This window comes from Homo sapiens, chromosome 2 (genome assembly GCF_000001405.40).
Source record: "Homo sapiens chromosome 2, GRCh38.p14 Primary Assembly".
In the NCBI taxonomy this organism is placed as follows: Eukaryota; Metazoa; Chordata; class Mammalia; order Primates; family Hominidae; genus Homo; species Homo sapiens.
The window spans coordinates 52568881-52588076 of NC_000002.12; the positions used below are offsets into that span (position 1 = coordinate 52568881).

At 40.9% G+C, this 19196-nt stretch overlaps 1 pseudogene; it reads left to right on the top strand.

The window, feature by feature from the left end:
* CRTC1P1 (CRTC1 pseudogene 1) lies at window positions 1767–3844 on the top strand (annotated as a pseudogene).
* The last annotated feature ends 15352 nt before the right edge of the window (window positions 3845–19196 follow it).

Sequence of the window (19196 nt, forward strand, 5' to 3'; positions counted from 1 at the left end):
CTTGTTCTTATTCTCAAGAGGAGTGCTTCCAGCTTTCACCCTTTCAGTATGATGTTGGCTGTGGGTCTGTCATAGATGTCTCTCATTATTTTGAGTTATGTTACCTCAACGCCTAGTTTGTTGAGGGTTTTTAACATAACAGAATGCTGAATTTGGTCAGAAGGTTTTTCTGCATCTACTAAGATGAACATGTGGTTTTTGGTTCTAGTTCAGTTTATGTGGTGAATCACACTTATTGATTAGCATATGTTGAACCAATCTTGCATCTCAGGATTAAAGTCAACTTGATTGTGGTGTTTTAGCTTTTTGAAATGCTGCTGGATTTGGTTTGCTAGTATTTTGTTGAGGATTTTCCTGTCAATGGTCATGAAGGATATTGGCTTTAAGTTTTCCTTTTTTATTGTGTCTCTTCCAGCTTTTGGTATCACAATAATGCTGGCCTCATAGAATGAGTTAGGGAGGAGTCCCTCCTCCTCAATGTTGTGAAATACTTTCAGTAGGAATGGCAGCAGATCTTCTTTATAACTCTGGTAGGATTTGGTCATGAATCCATCTGCTCCTTGGATTTTTCTGCTTGGTAGGCATTTTATTACTGATTCAACCTTGGAACTCATTATTTGTCCGTTCAGGGATTCAATTTCTTCCTGGTTCAATCTTGAAGGTTGTTATGTTTCCAGGAATTTATTTACTTCTTGTAGCTTTTCTAGTTTGAGTGCATAGTGGTGTTTGTGGTAGCCTCTGAGTTTTTGTATGTCCCTTAGTCATTTTTGATTGTGTTCATTTGGATCTTCTCTCTTTTTTGCTTTATTAATCTAGCTAGCAGTCTACCAATCTTACTTATTCTTCCAAATAACCAACTCCTCTATACTTTGGTCTTTTGTATGGTTTTTCACATTTCAATTTTCTTCAGTTCAGCTCTGATTTTGGTTATTTCTTCCTCTATCTTTGGGGTTGGTTTTCTCTTTGTTTTCTAGTTCTTCTAAGTGTGATTTTAGATGGTTAATTTGAGATATTTTTTCATTTTTAATGTGGTATTTAATGCTAGAAACTTTCTTAACACTGCTTTAACTGTGTCCCAGATTCTTCTATGTTGTATCTTCGTCTTCATTCATTTAAAAAAAAATTTAATTTCTGCCTTAATTTCACTGTTTACTCAATAAACAGGGATTTTTATTCCAAAAAAAATTCAGGAGCATGTTGCTTAATTTCCATGTGATCGTATAGTTTTGAGTGTTTTCTTAGAATAGATTTCTATTTTTATTGTGCTGTGATCTGACAGTGTGTTTGGTATAATCGTGTTTTTTTCCAATTTGCTGAGGATGGTTTTAGGTCTGATTGTCTGGTCAATTTTAGAGTATGTATTATGTGCAGATGAGACAAATGTATACTCTGCTGTTTTGTGGTAGAGAGTTCAGTAGATACCTGTCAGGCCCGTTTAGTCAAGCGTCAAGTTCAAGTCCTATTTATCTGTTAGTTTTCTGCCTCAATAATATGTATAGTACTGTCAGTGGAGTGTTGAAATCTCCCACTATTATTGTATGGTTATCTAAGTCTCTTCGGAGATCTCTAAAAACTTCCTCTACAAATCTGGATGCTGCTGTGTTGGGTGCATACATATTTAAGATAGTTAGGTCTTCTTGTTAAATGGATTCCTTTACCATTATGTAATGCCCTTTTTGTCTTTTTAAAATCTTTGGGCTAAAGTGTATTTTTTTCTGAAAATAGAATAGCAATGCTGGCATTTTTCTTTTCTTTTCATCACCTATATTCAGCGAGAAGGTCACACTGCACAATGAGAAACACGCGGGGGAGACAGCGGCCCTCGAGGAGGCCATGAAAGGTCTAAGCCTGATGCGGCCCCACGGCTCCAGCTCCAGAAATATCAGTATCCGCAACTGGGCCCAAGCGGGGCCAGTACTATGCCGGGTCCCTGCTCAACGTGAACCAGATCGGGAGTGGCACCGTGGACCTGCCCTTCCAGACCCCCTTCCAATCCTTGGGCCTGGACACCAGCCTGACTACCAGGCACCATGGGCTGGTGAACAGGGTGTACCGGGAATGCGGCCGACTAGGCTCCCCGCACTGCCTGCACCTGTCAAAGGACAAACACGGACAGCAGGCCAACAGCTGCCCATACGGCACCGTGTACCTCTTGCCACCCACGGACACCAGCTGGAGAAGGACCAATTCTGACTCGCCCTGCGCCAGAGCACAATGACGCCCATGCAGCCAGAATCCTTTACTAGTGGGTCCCAGGACGTGCACCAGAAAAAAGTCTTACTGTTAACAGTCCCAGGAATGGAAGAGACCATATCAGAGGCAGACAAAAACCTTTCCAAGCAAGCGTGGGGAAACCAAGAAGACGGGATCCAGGACCAAGTCCTGCGCGGAATCAACGAATCAACATCTTCCCGTCCGCCGACCAGGAAAACACTACAGCCCTGATCTCCGCCATTCACAATACTGTGGGCTCCCTGCACCGCCTGACCAACATCCACTTCCCTTCCCCGCTCGACTCCGAGGAGCCCACCTTCCCCGCACTCAGTAGCTCCAGCAGCACCGACAACGTCTCGGCCAACCTGATGCACCTGGGCATCAGCGGCGCCGGCCAAGGGGATGAGTACACTCGGCTCCCCTCCGCAGCACCGTCCAGCCGGCGTCAGCCCCCTGTCCCGAGCACAGAGACGAGGCATCAGCAGTCATCGCCCACTCTGTCCCCGCTGTCATACATCACTCAGGCCGTGGCCTTGAATGCCCTGTCTCTGGAGCAGCAGGTACCCTACGCCTTCTTCACCCAGACGGACTCCCAGCAGCCGCTGCCGCAGCCCCAGCCTCCGCCGCCCCCTTAGCCTGGGTCTCAGCAGCCGCCAACCCCACCGCCCCTACAGGCGCCCGTCCGCCTGCCCCCCGGCAGCCCCTGTTGCCCAGCACCAACCTGAATCGTGGGCCACAGCCGCCCCCGCTCGCGGTCACGGTACCGTCCTCTCTCTTCCAGTCCCCACGAAGAATCCCGGCCTGCCGTCGATGGGGATCGACATCGCCTCGGCGCCGCCTCTGCAGCAGTAGCGGCACTAGCCCCGGCTCCTCGGCCAACCAGTCTCCCACCTCGCCAGTCTCCAATCAAGGCTTCTCCCCAGGGAGCTCCCCGCAACACACTTCCACTCTGGGCAGCGTGTTTGGGGACGCGTACTATGAGCAGCAGATGGCGTTCAGGCAGGCCAATGCTCTGTCCCACCAGCTGGAGCAGTTCAACACGATGGAGAACGCCATCAGCTCCCTATACAACAGGGGCTCCACGCTCAACTACTCGCAGGCGGTCATGATAGCCCTCACCCACAGCCACGGGAGCCTGCTGAACTCGCAGCAGCTGGGCTACACCAGCCACAGTGGCATCCCCAACATCATCCTCATAGTGACAGGACAGTCTCCCCCGGCCCCCCAGCCTCTTTAAAGAACTGACCAGCTCTCTGGTCAGGGTCGGCGACCTCAGCTTCGACTCCGACAGCCAGTTTCCCCTGGATGAACTCAAGATCGACCCCCTGACCCTGGACGGACAGACCCTGAACGGACTGCACATGCTCAATGACCCCGACGTGGTTCTGGCGGACCCAGCCACCAAGAACACCTTCCGAATGGACCGCCTGTGAGCGGGCATGCCGGCACCCTGCCGCTCAGCCATCCCGACGGCGCCTCCCCAGCCCGGGGACAGCCACGCTCTGTCCCTCTCCAATAGCCGAGCTTGTGATTCTGAGCTTCCAATGCCGCCAAGCGCCCCCAGCCCGCCCCCGGTTGTCCACCTCCCGCGAAGCCCAGTCGCTAGGCCGCGAGCCGGGCGTCCACCCACTCGCCGGCCCGGGCTGAGCTGGGATCGGAGGGTGTGAGGCCCCCGCCCCCGCAGACCCTCCCTGTACCGACTCCCTAGCTCGAAGCCCCGCCGGGGCCTAAGCCGTCCGCTGTAAGATGCGGGAAGTATCAGCTCCAAGCCTGGCGAGCAGGCTCAGGGGAGGGGCGCGCATGGTCCGCCACCATGCATTTTCCGACTGTTTGTCCAGCTCTTACTGCCTTCCTCGGTTCCTGGTCCCCCAACCTATCTGCCACCCCCAGCCCGTGGTCAGGTAGAGACTGAGTCCCAAGCCGCCCCAGGGAGGAGGCGGCAGAGCGCGGAGCAGACGCAAAGTGAAATAAACACAATTTTGAAGGCAAAATTATATATATATGCTGAATATACACCCCCTATCTCTTCTGGCTTGTAGGGCTTGTGCTGAAAGATCCACTATCAGCTTGATGAGTTTCCCTTTGTAGGTGACCTGCCCCTTCTCTCTAACTGGCTTCAATTTTTTTTTCTTTCATGCCTGTCTTGGAAATCTAATCATCGTGTGCCTTGGGAATGGTCATCTTGTATAGTATTTTGCAGGAGTTCTCTGCATTTTTTAATTTAAAGTTGGCCTCGCTAGTGAGGTTGGGGAAAATTTTCATAGATAATATCCTCAAATATGTTTTCCAAGTTGCTTCTTTTTTCTCCCTCTTTTTCAAGGATGCTAATGTTGTAGAGTTGTAGATTTGGTCTCTTTACACAAGCCTATATTTCTCAGAATTTTTGTTCATTCTTTTTCTTCCTTTATTTTCATCTGCTGAGTTAGCCTAGAGAACTAGTCTTTGAGCTCTGAGATTCTTTCCTCAACTTGATCTATTCTACTGTGTTTTTGTTTTGCTTTGTTTTTGAGATGGAGTCTCACTCTGTTGCCAAGCTGGAGTGCAGTGGCGCAATCTCAGCTCACTGCAACCTGCGCCTCCTGGGTTCAAGCGATTCTCCTGCCTCAGCCTCCCGAGTAGCTGGGATTACAGGCATACGCCACCATGCCCAGCTAATTTTTGTATTTTTAGTAGAGACTGGGTTTCACTATGTTCGCCAGGATGGTCTCGATCCCTTGACCTCGTGATCCACCCGCCTCGGCCTCCCAAAGTGCTGGGATTACAGGCGTGAGCCACTGCGCCTGGCCTATTCTACTGTTAATACTTGTGATTATATTATAAAATTATTATAGGGTATTTTTCCGCCCTATCAGATCAGTTTGCCTCTTGCTTACAATGGCAATTTTGTCTTTCAGGTCCTGTATTATTTTACTGTAATCCTAGATTCCTTGGATTAAATTTTGACTTTCTCCTGAATCTCAATGATCTTTGTCCTTACCAATATTCTGAATTCTATGTCTGTCATTTCAACCTGCTTAAGATCCTTACTGGAGAACTAGCGTGGTCATTTGGAGGATAAAAGACACTCTGGCTTTTTGAGTTTCCAGAGTTCTTGCACTGGTTCTTTCTCATCTGTGTAAACTAATGTTCTTTTAACTGTATTGCAATTTGAGTACAATCAGTTGCTTCCTTTTCTGGGTGTTTTCACAGGGCTGAGGCTTTGTGCAGGGCCTATATTTGTAGCTGAATTCTTTCACAGAGGCATATATTTGCAAAGACTTTACGAAATTTTTTTCAATTATTCATGAATGGACACAAGTTGATTCTATAATTTTTCTATTGTACATAGTGCTGCTATGAACTAATGAGTGCAAGTGTCTTTTTTACATGATGATTTATTTCTCTTTGGGTAGATTCCAATAGTGGGGTTGCTAGATCAAAGATTAATTCTATTTCTACTTCTTTGAGAAATCTCCATACTGTTTTCCAAACAGGTGGTACTCATTTACATTCCCATCAACAGTGTATAAGCTTTCCCTTTTCTCCACATCCTTGTCAGCATCTGTTGTTTCTTCACTTTTTAGTAATAGTCCTTCTGGTTAAGATGGTATCTCACTGTGGTTCTAATATCCATTTCTCTTATGATTAGCAATGCTGAGCATTTTTCATATGTGTATTGGCTGCTTTTATGTCATCTTTTGAACAATTTCTGTTCATGTCCTTTGCCTACTTTTTGATGGGTGTTTTTTTGTTGAGTTCCTTGTAGATTCTGGGAATTAGTACCTTCTCAGATGCATAGTTTGCAAATATTTTTTGATGGTTTTTTTTGTTGTTGTTGCGTTCCTTGTAGATTCTGGGAATTAGTACTTTCTCAGATGCATAGTTTGGAAATATTTTCTCCCATTCTGTAGATAGTCTGTTTACTCAGTTGATTACTTCTTTTATAATTTTCTGCTGTGCAGAAGATTTTTAGTTTTAGTCTCATTTGCCTATTTTTGTTTTTGTTGCATTTTCTTTTGAAAATTCAGTCCTAAATTATTTGCCTAGAACAATGGGCAAAAGATCTTCTTGGGTTTTTATAACTTCAAGTCTAACATTTAATCCATATGAGTTAATTTTTGAATATGGTGAGAGATACAGGTCTAGTTTTATTTACCTGCATATGGCTCAGCAGTTATCCCAGCACCACTTATTGAATTAGGTTTCCTTTCCCCAGTGTATATTTTTGCTGGCTTTGTAAAAGATCATTTCGTTTTAGATATGTGGCTTTATTTCTGGGTTCTCTACTCTGTTCCATTTATCTGTGTGTCTATTTTTATACTAGTATCATGGTGTTTTTGTTACTATAGCTTTGTAGTATAATTTGATGTCAGGTAATGTGATACCTGTAGCTTTATTCTTTTTGCTTAGGATAGCGATGGCTATTTGGACCCTTTTTCATTTCCATGTAAATTTAATTTTTTTTCTATTTATCAAAGAATGATAGTAGTTTGACAGAAATTGCATTGAATCTATGGATTGCTTTGGGCAGTATGGTCACTTTAATGATACTGATTCTTCCAATCCATGAGCATCACTGTTTTTCCATTTGTGTCATCTATTGTTTCCCGTATCAGTGTTTTATAGTTCTCCTTGTAGAGATCTTTCACCTCCCTAGTTAAATGCATTCCTATGCATTTTTTATTTGTTTTGTGTAGCTATTGTAAATGGGATTGAGTTCTTGATTTGGTTCCCAGCTTGATGATTATTGGCATATAGAAACACAACTGATTTTTGTAAGTTGATTTTGTAGCCTGATTCTTTACTGAAGTCACTTATAAAATCTAGGAGGCATTTGGAGGAGTCCTTAGGGTTTCTAGGTATAAAATTGTATCATCAGTGAACAGAGATAATTTGACTTCCTCTTTGCCAATTTAGATGTCTTTTATTTCTTTCTTTTGTCTGATTACTCTGACTAGGACTTCAAGTACTATGTTGAATAAGAGTGAAGAGAGTGGACATCATTGTCCTTTTCCCAGTTCTTAAGAGGAATGCTTTTAATTTTTCCCATTCCAGTGTCATGTTTTCTATGGGTTTGTCATATATGGCTTTTATTATTTTGAGTTATGTTCTTTCTGTGCCTAGCATAGCAAAGGTTTTTCATTAGGAAGTGATGCTGAATTTTATCAAATGCTTTTTCTGTATCTATTTATATAATCATATGCTTTTGTTTTGAATTCTGTTTATGTGGTGAATCATATTTATTAATATGCATATGTAAAACCAAACTTTCATCCCTATAACAAAATCCACTTAGTAACAGTATATTATCTTTTTGATGTGTTGTTGGTTTCTGTTTACTAGTATTTTGTTGAGGATTTTCACATCTATGTTCACCAAAGATATTGGTCTGTAGTTTTCCTTTTTTTGTAGTGTCTTTGCCTGGCATTAGTATCAAGGCAATGCTGGCTTTATAAAATGAGTTAGGGAAGATTTTCTCTCCTCAATTTTTGGGAACAGTTTTAGCAAGTTTAGTATCACTACTTCATTGTGTATCTGGTAGAATTTGTCTCTGAAACTACCTGGTCCTAGGCTTTTTTTTTATTATTAAGATTTTTTTATTACCAATTTACTTTCACTACTCATTATTGGTCTGTTCAGGATGTCTACGTCTTCCTGATTCAATCTTGGGAGGCTGTATCTTTCCAGGAATTTATCCATTTTCTCTAGACTTTCTAGTTTGTGTACATAGAGATGCTCATAGTAGTCTCTGATGATCTTTTATATTTTTGTTGTATCAGTTGTAATGACATCTTTATCATTTCTGATTGTGCTTATTTGAATCTTCTCTCTTTATTTCTTGGTAAATCTAGCTACTGGTCTATCAGTTTTATCTTTTCAAAGAACATATTTTACATTTCAATGATTTTTTTTTTTTTGGTCTCCATTTCATTTAGTTCAGCTCTGATCTTTGTTATTTCATTTCTTCTGCTAGCTTTGAATATGGTTTGTTCTTGTTTACTTCATTAACATGCAACATTAGGTTGTTAATTTGAGTTATTTCTATATTTTTGATGTAGACATTTAAGGGTATAAAGTTCCCGCTTAGCACTGCTTTAGCTGTATCCCAGAAGTTTTTGTATATTGTGTCTGTATTTTCATTTGTTTCCAAAAACATTTTGGTGTCCACTTTAATGTCATCATTGACTCAACAATTATTCAGGAGCAGATTATTTAATTTTCATGTATTTGTGTGGTTTTCAGCATTCCTCTTGGTGTTGACTTCTAGTTTTATTCCATTGTGGTAAGATAATGTACTTGATATAATTTCAATTTTTTCAAATTTATCACGACTTGCCTTGTGGCATAGTATATGGTCAATTTTTGAGAATGTCCTATGCACAGACAAGAAGCATGTATATTCTCAGGTTTTTGGGTAGAATATTCTGTAAATATCTTTTAGGTTCATTTGTTCTAGAGTCCAATTTAAATCCAGAGTTTCTTTGTTACTTTTCTACATGGATAATCTGTCTAATGTTGTCAGTGGAGTATTCAAATCCTCCACTATTATTGTGTTAGTGTCTATCACTTTTCTTAAGCCTAGTAGTATTTGGTTTATGAATATGAATGCATATATATTTAGAATTGTTATATATTCTTATTGAATTGATCCCTTTATCATTATATGATTACCTTCTTCACCTTTTTTTTTTTTTTTACTGTTGTTGATTTAAAGTCTATTTTATCTAAGTATAGTTACTCCTGTCACTTATGGTTTCTCTTTGCATGAAATATATTTTTGCACCCTTTTACTTTGAGTCTGTAAATAGGTGGGTTTTTTTAATGCAACAAAGGATTGGGTATTGGCCTTTATCCATTATACATATCCAGCATATATCTTTTAAGTGAAGCATTTAGTCAATTTATGTTTAAGGTTACTATTGATATGTGACCTTTTGTCATACAATGTTAATGTTCATACTTTTCATTTTTCATAATGTTAATTTTTATCTAATTACTTTTCAATCTTGATTGTGTAATTGATTTATAAGACCTGGGAGTTTTATACTTTTGTATGTTTTTTGATGTCAAGTATTACTATTTTGTCCATGTTTAGAATTTCTTTGAGCATTTCTTGTAGTTTCAGTTTAGTGGTGAAAAATTCTCTAAGTGTTTGCTTGTCTGGAAAAGACTCTTTTTTTAAAAAAAATTTTTGAAGCTTAGTTTGACAAGATACTAAATTATTGGGCAGCATTTTTTTTTTTCTTTAAGAAGACTGAAAATAAGACCCAGTCTTTTCTGGCTTGTAAAGTTTTAGCTGAGAATTCTTCTATTAGTCTGTTGGGATTCGCTTTATAGGTGATTAGATGCTTCTCTCTTGCCACTTTTATATTTTTTTTCTTCACATCACCTTTGGATAATCTGTTGACTATATGCCTCCATGAGGTTCTTAATGCAATGCATTTTTCAGGAGTTCACTGAACTTCTTACACCTGGATAACTAGATCTCTAGTAAGACCTGGGAACTTTTCCTGAATTCGTCTCTCAAACAGTGTTTCATACTTTATACTTTTTCTTCTTCTCCCTCTAGAATAGCTTAACTTGTAGTTCTTGGTGCTTTACATAATCCCGTACTTCTCCGAGATTTTATTCGTTTTTTAAAAATCTTTTTTTATTTTTATTTTTGTCTTATGAGGTTAATATGAAGAGCTGTGTTCCAGCTCTAAAGTTCATTATTCTTCTTGGTCAGGGCTATTTTTGAAGTTTTTAACTGTATTTTGTAATTCCCTCAATGAATTTTTCACTTGCAGAACTTCTATTTTATTATTTAAAATAATAACTGTCTCTTCTTTTATATCCCAAATTGTGTTTTTTTTTCTAATTTATATGTGTTGTTTTTCAACTTTCTCTTTAATATCATTGAGCTTCTTTAAAGTTAATATTTTGAATTCTTTATCTGGTATTTCCAAAATTTAATTTTGGTTAGGATTCATTGCAGGAAAGTTAGTGTGATCTTAAGACGGTGTTGTGACAATCTGTTTTTCATACTGTCAGAATTGTTTCTCTGGTTTCTTCTCATTTAAATAAGCCATCTCTCCTTATTTTTGAATTTATTTTCTTTTGGATAGTATTTCTCCCCTCCGTGACCCCAAGGATGTGACTAAAATGCATGTTGTGTAGGGTCCTTTAGCTTTGGTTCTGGGTGCTTTCAGTGGCAAAGACTCTCTATAGGTTCCTTTGTTATATGTGGCATTTGTATAGTGAGTGTATTTCTCAGATGCTGGTTGTAGTAGCAATATACTAGATGTGTGAGTGGGCTCACTGCCTCGTGTAGGCCAGTATGGCAGAGGTGTCTGGAAGCTTATTTCTCAGTGCTGTGCACTTGTGCCAGCAGATTTTGTATTGGGTTGTGCAGTTCATTCTCTAGGCCAATGGGTGCTTCATATGGATAAGAGCCAGCTGTGGCCAATGCAGATAGGTATATACTTGATCTTAGTTTACTGTGAGATGCTGTCTGTTGCGTCAAGCAATTAGCTATCCCATACAATTCACAGTCATCTGTGCTCCCTGCTCGTTCCTGGAGAGAGAAAACAAGCTGGGTGGAACTAGACTGGGCAAGTCCATCTATACATCCCCTAATGGCAGGTATAAGCACTAGCTTTGTGGGGGTGTCTGGAAGGCAGTAGCCAAGTGGCAAGAGATGTCCCTGGGCATGGAGTAGAGAAATATCCACTGCCTCAAGTTCTCTGCCTGGAAATGGATGGGCAGCCCATACTCATAATCTAAGATATGGGTGCTTCAAATGCCTGGAGATACATTCAGCCATGGAGCAGAGGGGGCGCTGCCACACCAGAATCTTGGCACCTGAAAGGAGGGGTGGCTCAGGCTGAGCAGGTGCACTGAATGCCTGGAAATATGCCCTGGTGTGAAGTGTAGAGGTTGGTGCTGCATCAGGATCTCTGCATGAGAAATAAGGGGTGGGTCAGGCTCCTATATCAGGTGAGTAAGTGTGACAAAGGTCTGATAATATGCCTGGGTATGGGGTAGAGACAGTGCAACTGTGTCAAAATTTCTGCACAGGAAAGGAGGTGTGACTCAGGTTCCTAATCCAGGCAAGGGAGTGGGCTGAAAGCTCAAAATTATGCCCAGTTATGAAGCAGTGAAGACAGCGAAGACACCACAGCATCAAAATCTCTCTGCAGGAAAGGAAGGACAACTCAGGCTCCTATCCACATGAGTTGATGTATTGAGTGCTTGTAATTATGCCTGAGTGTGAGGTGAAAAGGGCAATGCTGCACCACGGTCTGTGCACAGAAAGAGAGGCATGGCTCAGGTCTCCATTCTAGGCCACTTGGTAGGCCAAATGCTGGAAATATGTTCCCCAGAAAGAAGCAGAGTAATTTCTGTGAAGCAGAGTAGCTGCTGCTGCAACAAGGTCTTTGCAGGGGAAGGGAAGGTAGTCTCAGGGGTGGGGTCTGCCTCCCTACACTTCTCAAAACTTGTGGGGCACACTGTCCTGACTGACCAAAGGAACTGACTACCCAGCAATGACACTAGTCCCAGACTGCAAAGCTCTTCTGGCCACACAAATCATGCCACCCGGAGAAGCAGTGGCTTCAGCAATTCCTCTGCTCCAGTCACAGTGCCTACTGCTGGGGTGCAGTCTACACTCATCACTCAGTTCTGATTGTGGGTACCCTTCCCCTGCTCCAGAGTAAGTGCTCCATTCTCCAGCCAGAGTCCAAAGTCCCTGTGGCAGCTGCCCCTGCTGGGTCACCAAAAATTACTGACTTCTTTATATGAAACTAGATTGAAAACAGTGTCCTCTCAGTCCAAGTCTGGGAAAATTTCCGCAGCTTTTCTGGCATCTTTCCCTCATACCCTCTCCCAGCCTCTCCCCAAGTTAGCTCCAGGGCTTCGGAGAAACAAGGTGCTCTCCCGTGGCCTTGGTTGGACGAATCTCTAGTTAAAAAGTGAATCATAAATGAAAAGTGCCTCTTTTATGCACTGAGGCTTCACTCACTTTTATCAGTCAAATGCTGTCACACAGGCTGCTTGTAAACCTTCTCTTCCCCAGTATCCGGAGTGTCCCTCACTTTTTGGGTGAATTCTGTATTCCTTCTTGAGTAAAAGCTCACAGTGTTGCTGTTTATACACCATTTTGTTATTTCCAAGTGAATGAAGCATGCTAAAAGCCTCTAATCCACCATCTTGGGAAAGAAAAAAAAACAAGAAGAGCTTTAATAAAAAAGGATTGGTCGGCCAGATGCGGTAGCTCAGGTCTGTAATTCCAGCACTTTGGGAGGCCGAGGCGGGTAGATCTTGAGGTCAGGAGATCGACACCATCCTGACTAACACGGTGAAACCCCGTCTCTACTGAAAATACAGAAAAATTAGCCAGGCGTGGTGGTGGGCGCCTGTAGTCCCAGCTACTCGAGAGGCTGAGGCAGGAGAATGGCGTGAACCCGGGAGGTGGAACTCGCAATGAGCCGAGATCGGGCGAAGTGACTCGCGCCTGTAATCCCAGCACTTTGGGAGGCTGAGGCGGGCAGATCACTTGAGGTCAGGAGTTTGAGACCAGCCTGGCCAACATGGTGAAACCCTGTCTCTACTAAAAATACAAAAATTAGCTGGGCGTGGTGGTGTGCGTCTGTAATCCCAGCTACTCGGGACGCTGAGGCAGGAGAATCACTTGAACCCAGGAGGCGGAGGTTGTGGTGAGCCAGGGTTGCGCCACTGCACTCCAGCCTGGGCAACAAGAGCAAGACTCCCTCTCAAAAAAAAAAAAAAAAAAAAAAAAAAAAAAAAAAAAAAATTAGCTGGGTGTGGTGGTGCGTGCCTGTAGTCCCAGCTACTTCGGAGGCTGAGGCAGGGCAATCGTTTGAACCCAGGGGGCGGAGGTTGCAGTGAGCCGGGTTCGTGCCACTGCACTCCAGCCTGGGTGACAAAGCGAGACCCAGTCTCAAAAAAACAAAAGGTTCCTTGCTGTCGTAACATGCACTGCCTTTCTGGATATCTTCACACTGTTTTCCTAGATCATACAAAGTATAATTATCTCAAAAGAATATTAGTTCAGGTGTTCCTTATTTAAGCATTGATTACTTAATGGAAACTGGTGAATGATCACCGTTTTTTTAATCATCTTCTTTAATTTAATCACCTTGATTGAATCTAAAACTGATTGCTATTTATAGAGATATAGATTCTAAGCTCATCTTTGAACTCACCTCTAGTGTTCATTTTCTACTGCATTGTCACAGACATAATGTCAATCCGGCAGCTCTTTTTTTGTTGTGTTTTTGGCGGATCTTCAAATGCCTTACTTACACCTGCTATTAAGGGAGGTATAGATGGACTTGCCCAGTCCAGCCCCACCCAGCTTGTTTTCACCCAGTTCAACCCCACCCAGCTTGTTTTCTCTCTTTGGAACCAAGCAGGGAGCACAGACCACTGTGCATTCTATAGGACAGCTCATTGCCTGAGGCAATAGAGAGCATCTCACAGTAAACAAAGATCACTGCTTACAAGGTGGCATCAGGCAAAGAGAGGGCTTGTGCAGAGAAACTCCCGTTTTTTAAAACTATCAGATCACATGAGACCCATTCATTATTACAAGAACAGCATGGAAAAGACCCAACCCCATAATTCAATCATTTTCCACCCGGTCCCTCCCACAACATATGGGAATTATGGGAGCTAGAAGATGAGATTTGGGTGGTAACTCAGAACCAAGCCATATCATTGACTTAAAAAAAAAAAAAATCAATCAACCGTAAGGCCTTGTATACCACTTCTCTATATATGACTTCTATCAATAACATAATCCTTCATAATTCTTATTCCTCATGACAAACCAATATGACATTGCAGAAGATGAAGAACATTTTTAGCAATCCACCAACATTTTATTTTCTTTTTCTCTCATTTCTACTTCTTTCTTTGTCACTGACAACTAAGAGAATTCCCATCTGTATTATTCTGTTCTCACACCACTATAAAGATACTACCTGAGACAGGGTAATTTATAAATAAAAGAGATTTAATTGACTCACAGTTCTGCATGGCTGGGGAAGCCTCAGGAAACTTAAAATCATGGCGGAGGGTAAAGAGGAAGCAAGGCATGTCTTACCTGGTGGCAGGAGAGAGACAGCATGCAGGGGAGACTGCCACTATTAAACAATCAGATCTCGTGCGAACTCGTTCACTATCAGGAGAACAGCATGGGGGAAACCACCCCATGATCCAATCACCTACCACCAGGTCCCTACCTTCACACATGGGGATTACATTTTGAAATGAGATTTGGGTAGGGGCACAGAACCAAACATTCTGCTTCTTTTTAAAGAAAATCCTTTTAAACAGTAGACAACAGATATGTAAACATCTTGAGGGATCTACCTCATTTAACACTTTTCTCCAAGTTACTTAGAAGCTAAAGTCCTACTGAAATACTCTGTAGAAGGCAGGTCAAGCATAGATTTTTCAAAATTAAGCCCCATATAAACAGGTTATTCAAATAGTCGATTTCCTAGCTCTTCTGGTTTGTTCTCTTTTTATTCCAAAATATTGATATTCAAACACCTTGTCTTTGGCTTATCCCTCATCCCACCATCTTTTCTTGACTTTGATTTGAGTTTAGAGTATACTGAAAAATAAATTCTATAGTTTCTGTTGGTAAGAAATTACAATGCACACATTATGTTTAAAGTTATAGAGAAAATTATTCTCTAGAGAGATAAGCCACTATTTCAAGAACCTGGATGCCTAAGGACAATCACAATTATATATTTCTCCCAATTTGTTAACTCATATGTCAGAATTATTTCTGGAAAATCATCCTTTATGGGAGAAATATTCTGAATGTCAAGATAGTGATTTTAAAAGGCAATGTATGTAATAAAAGGTGGAAGTAAGTCACTTTATTTCACACACACACACACACACACACACACACACACACACACACAATGCTTCTACATTTAAAGAAGTGGGGTTTGATTATAGAAAATTTGAGCACTTGACCAAATTATAATTTACCCAATATCATCAAGAAATAAAGTAGAGCTTAATAGTCTAGCATGAGGTTAGAAGGTTTGCAAAAGAGGAACCATATTAAGAGAAAGCTGGTGGGTACACCCTATACTGCACATTCACCAGCCCAGTGAGCTCTCAGAAGATATGAAGAGCTAGTAGCACCAGCTGGCCAGAGGCCTTTAGTTCCTTTTTTTTGTTTGTTTTGAGACAGTCTCACTCTGTCACCCAAGCTGGAGTGAAGTGGCGCAATCTTGGCTCACTGCAACCTCTGCCTCCTGGGTTCAAGTGATTCTCCTCAGCCTCCCGAGTAGCTGGGACTACAGGCACATGCCACCACGCGCAGCTAATTATTGTATTTTTAGTAGAGACGGGGTTTCACCATGTTGGTCAGGCTGGTCTTGAACTCCTGCCCTCAGGTGATCCACCCACCTCGGCCTCCCAAATTGGTGGAATTACAGGCGTGAGCCACCATGCCCGGCCGAGGCCTTTTACTTCTATTCAGAGGACAAAGTTCTTCATCTGAAGACAATTATGTAAAATGGTCTAACTGCTAAAGAATTATGAAGAGAAATTTAGTAATACTAGAAGTTTAAAGGGAAAAACTATCAGAGCATATTCAGACTTTAAGCAGTCTTTTTCCAAGGGGTTTGGGATACCTATACAAAGATTTCAACTGTCTTTTCAGATAAGCAGGGGCAAATACTTATGCTTCTCAGGGCCATTATTTCCTCATTTGGGAAATCAGAAAACTATCATCTATTTTGGTGGGTGTATTTAATGAGACATATATGTTAAATACGTGTCTAGTACTAGGACCTAAAGAATGGTAGATTTTATTATGAATATAGCAGTACAAATGTTAAGAGTTTGTTATCATTAACAATGAAAACATTTTAAAGGTATATTAAATATTTTATTGCATTCTTAAACCAAAGATGCTGGATGAAATAGAACTTTCTTGGTGACTTGACATCATTGGTATTACATGTTCTAAGAACAAAACCACTAGATTTTTAAAAATCTTATGTGGCTTTTTGCCTAACATCTTGGTTCACAGCTCTGTCTGTCTAGAAGTTTAAAATTGAAAGAAATCTAACTTCCAAATTGAATAACCCTGAATTTTTTTTCTTAGCACTGATGTTACTTTTAGAAATTGATGAGAAAAATAGTTTCCATCCAAAGGCCTAAATAGCAAAATATATTTTATTCTGATAACTTCAGTACAAAGTAAAAAAAAAAAAAAAAAAAAAAAAAAGTGACCTGCACTGGGAATAGAGAAACAATCATGTTGAGATAATTATAGTTGAAAAAAGAATTCTCAAATCCTGAGTTGTAATAAAAATGTGGATCAACCTGGGAAATAAGAGATGGCCAGGAGCAAGTAACATTTTTCACCATTTAAGGTTAACTGAGAAAAAATGGAGGTCATAGGCAAAGCATCTGAGTTACTGGCAGATGATTTCACCCCTCTAGAAAGGCTTTCAGATAAGAAATTAATAGCTAGAGAGACAATGTATCAAAGGAATTTAAAGTTCATTCTGGACTCAAAAGATAAAACCCTCCAAAATATGTATTTTGAGGTAAAGCTTGACAAATTTATTAGTTTGGGGGGAAAATTTAACATAGATGGTTGAGACAACATCAAAATTAAATGAGATATCACGCAAAATTAAAAAAAAAATTAACCCTGGAGTTGAGTTTCACAAAGATACCTGGCAGGGGTTTCCTTTTACTGCTGAATGCCAAAATAATAGAGCCATGAGGAAAGGGGTGAAGAAAGTTCACATTTCAGTTGGAAGCAGGAAATTAAAAAGAGCACAAAGAGTTTTGTGTTTCCTGTTAGGGAAGAGGGCAGGTGGATTCAGGACAAGGTGAAACTGGAGAATCATTCTCCATAGATTGCTGCAATAGGGTAATGCTCTCTGATTTACCTATCAAGAATAATGTGTTGAATTATTTTTGGAAGCTGGTGGCAAAATAACTGTTGTTATAAATGATGGACTATGCCAGACTAATCTAGAGTTTTGTATTAAATATAACTTGTACTAAAACAATTATGTATTAAAAACAACTTAAAGAAATCATTTAAAATAATCAAAATTAGCATATATGTTACAATGGGTGCTTGGATGTGGATGTAGAAAGCAGCAAGCAAATGCTTGATTGGATTTCAAGTTGGGTGGGAAATGAAATCTAGAATGGTCTAAATGTTCAAGGCCATAATTTATAATAATTAGAAGGCAAGCTCTTGGTGGTTAGACTATATTCATCTTTAATCTGTACTGTTTTCTTTAAAAAATAATTTAGCTTCTCATTGGTAAACTCTTTTACATTTTTCAGGAAATATTCTTTATCAAGCAACAGTATTTCTAAAATAATGCTTATGTGCCTAGTACCAAGATAAATAATATGAGCTGTGTGCAGTGGCTCACACCTGCAATCCCAGCAACTTGGGAGGCTGAGGCAGGAGGATCGCTTGATATCAGGAATTCAAGACCAGCTTGGGCAACACAGTGAGACCCGATCTCTACAAAAATAAAAAATTTACCTGAGTATGGTGTTGTGCACCTGTGGTCCCAGATACTTGGGAGGCTGAGGTGGGAGGATTGCTTGAGCGAGTTCAGGGCTGCAGTGTGCTGTGATCTTACCACTGCACCCCACACTGGGCAACAGAATAAGACCTCATCTCTAAATAATAACAACATAAAATGTAAAGGAGAACTGTGAGATAAACACCTCTGCCTTTGATTCAAAGTTGATGTTACAAAATTTTTGGAATGTGCTAAATGATTAAAAACAAACTGGTGTGTAACAGCTTATAAAACCAGAAGGAAGTAGAAACATGGAGTACTCAGAGAAGCTAAGGGTAGACAGGGAGAGGATACTTGCCTCTATTGAAGAGGTACATTTTGACTTGTGTGTTGTCAGCAGAAATGTTCTAGGAGAAGTTGGCTGCAAATACCATGTAGAGAGAGATGACATGTTGAAAAGCCCGTAGGCAAAATAGGAAGATAAGTTGGCTGGAAATACTGTGTGGAGAGAGGTGACATGTTAAAGAGCCCATAAGAAAATCAGGAATGTTATGAAAATGGAATATATTGGAAAATGGGCCCCATTCTGCTACATAAATCATTAGGAAAAAATGCACTAATTTTTAGTATTAAAAATCAATGAATTATTTAAGTGTAGTCCAGGACAGTAATGTGTCCAAAGCAGACATTCTCCAAAATCTCCATGTCATCTTCATTTTACACTAGTTTTCTTAAATCAGGAGAGAGTGGTTCATTCTAATGCTGAGTGTCATAATGAAGACTGTTTCTAAAAATGGTCCCCTTGTGATATATAGGGAGGACTTCTGGACCATTGCCTTTTCCAGTTCTATGAGTTGAGTCTACTTTCAAACGATAAACTGACAGATTCTTGGATAACGTGTTCCTCTCTTTCTCTATCTTATCCTCTGGTCAGTTCAACCCCTTCTAGAGCTCCGTCTATTTTTTTTTTTTTTTTTTTACTTTAAGTTCTGGGATACGTGTACAGAACGTGCAGGTTTATTACATAGGAATACATGTGCCATGGTGGTTTGGTACACCTATCTACACCTAACTTACGTCATCTAGGTTCTAAGTCCTGCATGCATTAGGTATTTGTCCTAATGCTCTCTCTCCCCTTGCCCCCCACTCTGGACAGGCCCCAGTGTGTGCTGTTCCCCTCCCTGTGTCCATGTGTTCTCATTGTTCAATTCCCACTTAGAAGTGAGAACATGAGGTGTTTGGTTTTCTTTTCCTGTGTTAGTTTCCTGAGGATGATGGCTTCCAGCTTCATCCATGTCCCTGCAAAGGATATGAACTCATTCTTTTATGGCTGCATAGTATTCCATAGTGTATATGTGCCACATTTTCTTTATCCAGTCTATTATTGATGGGCATTTTGGTGGGTTCCAAGTCTTTGCTATTGTAAATAGTGTTGCAATAAACATACGTCTGCATATG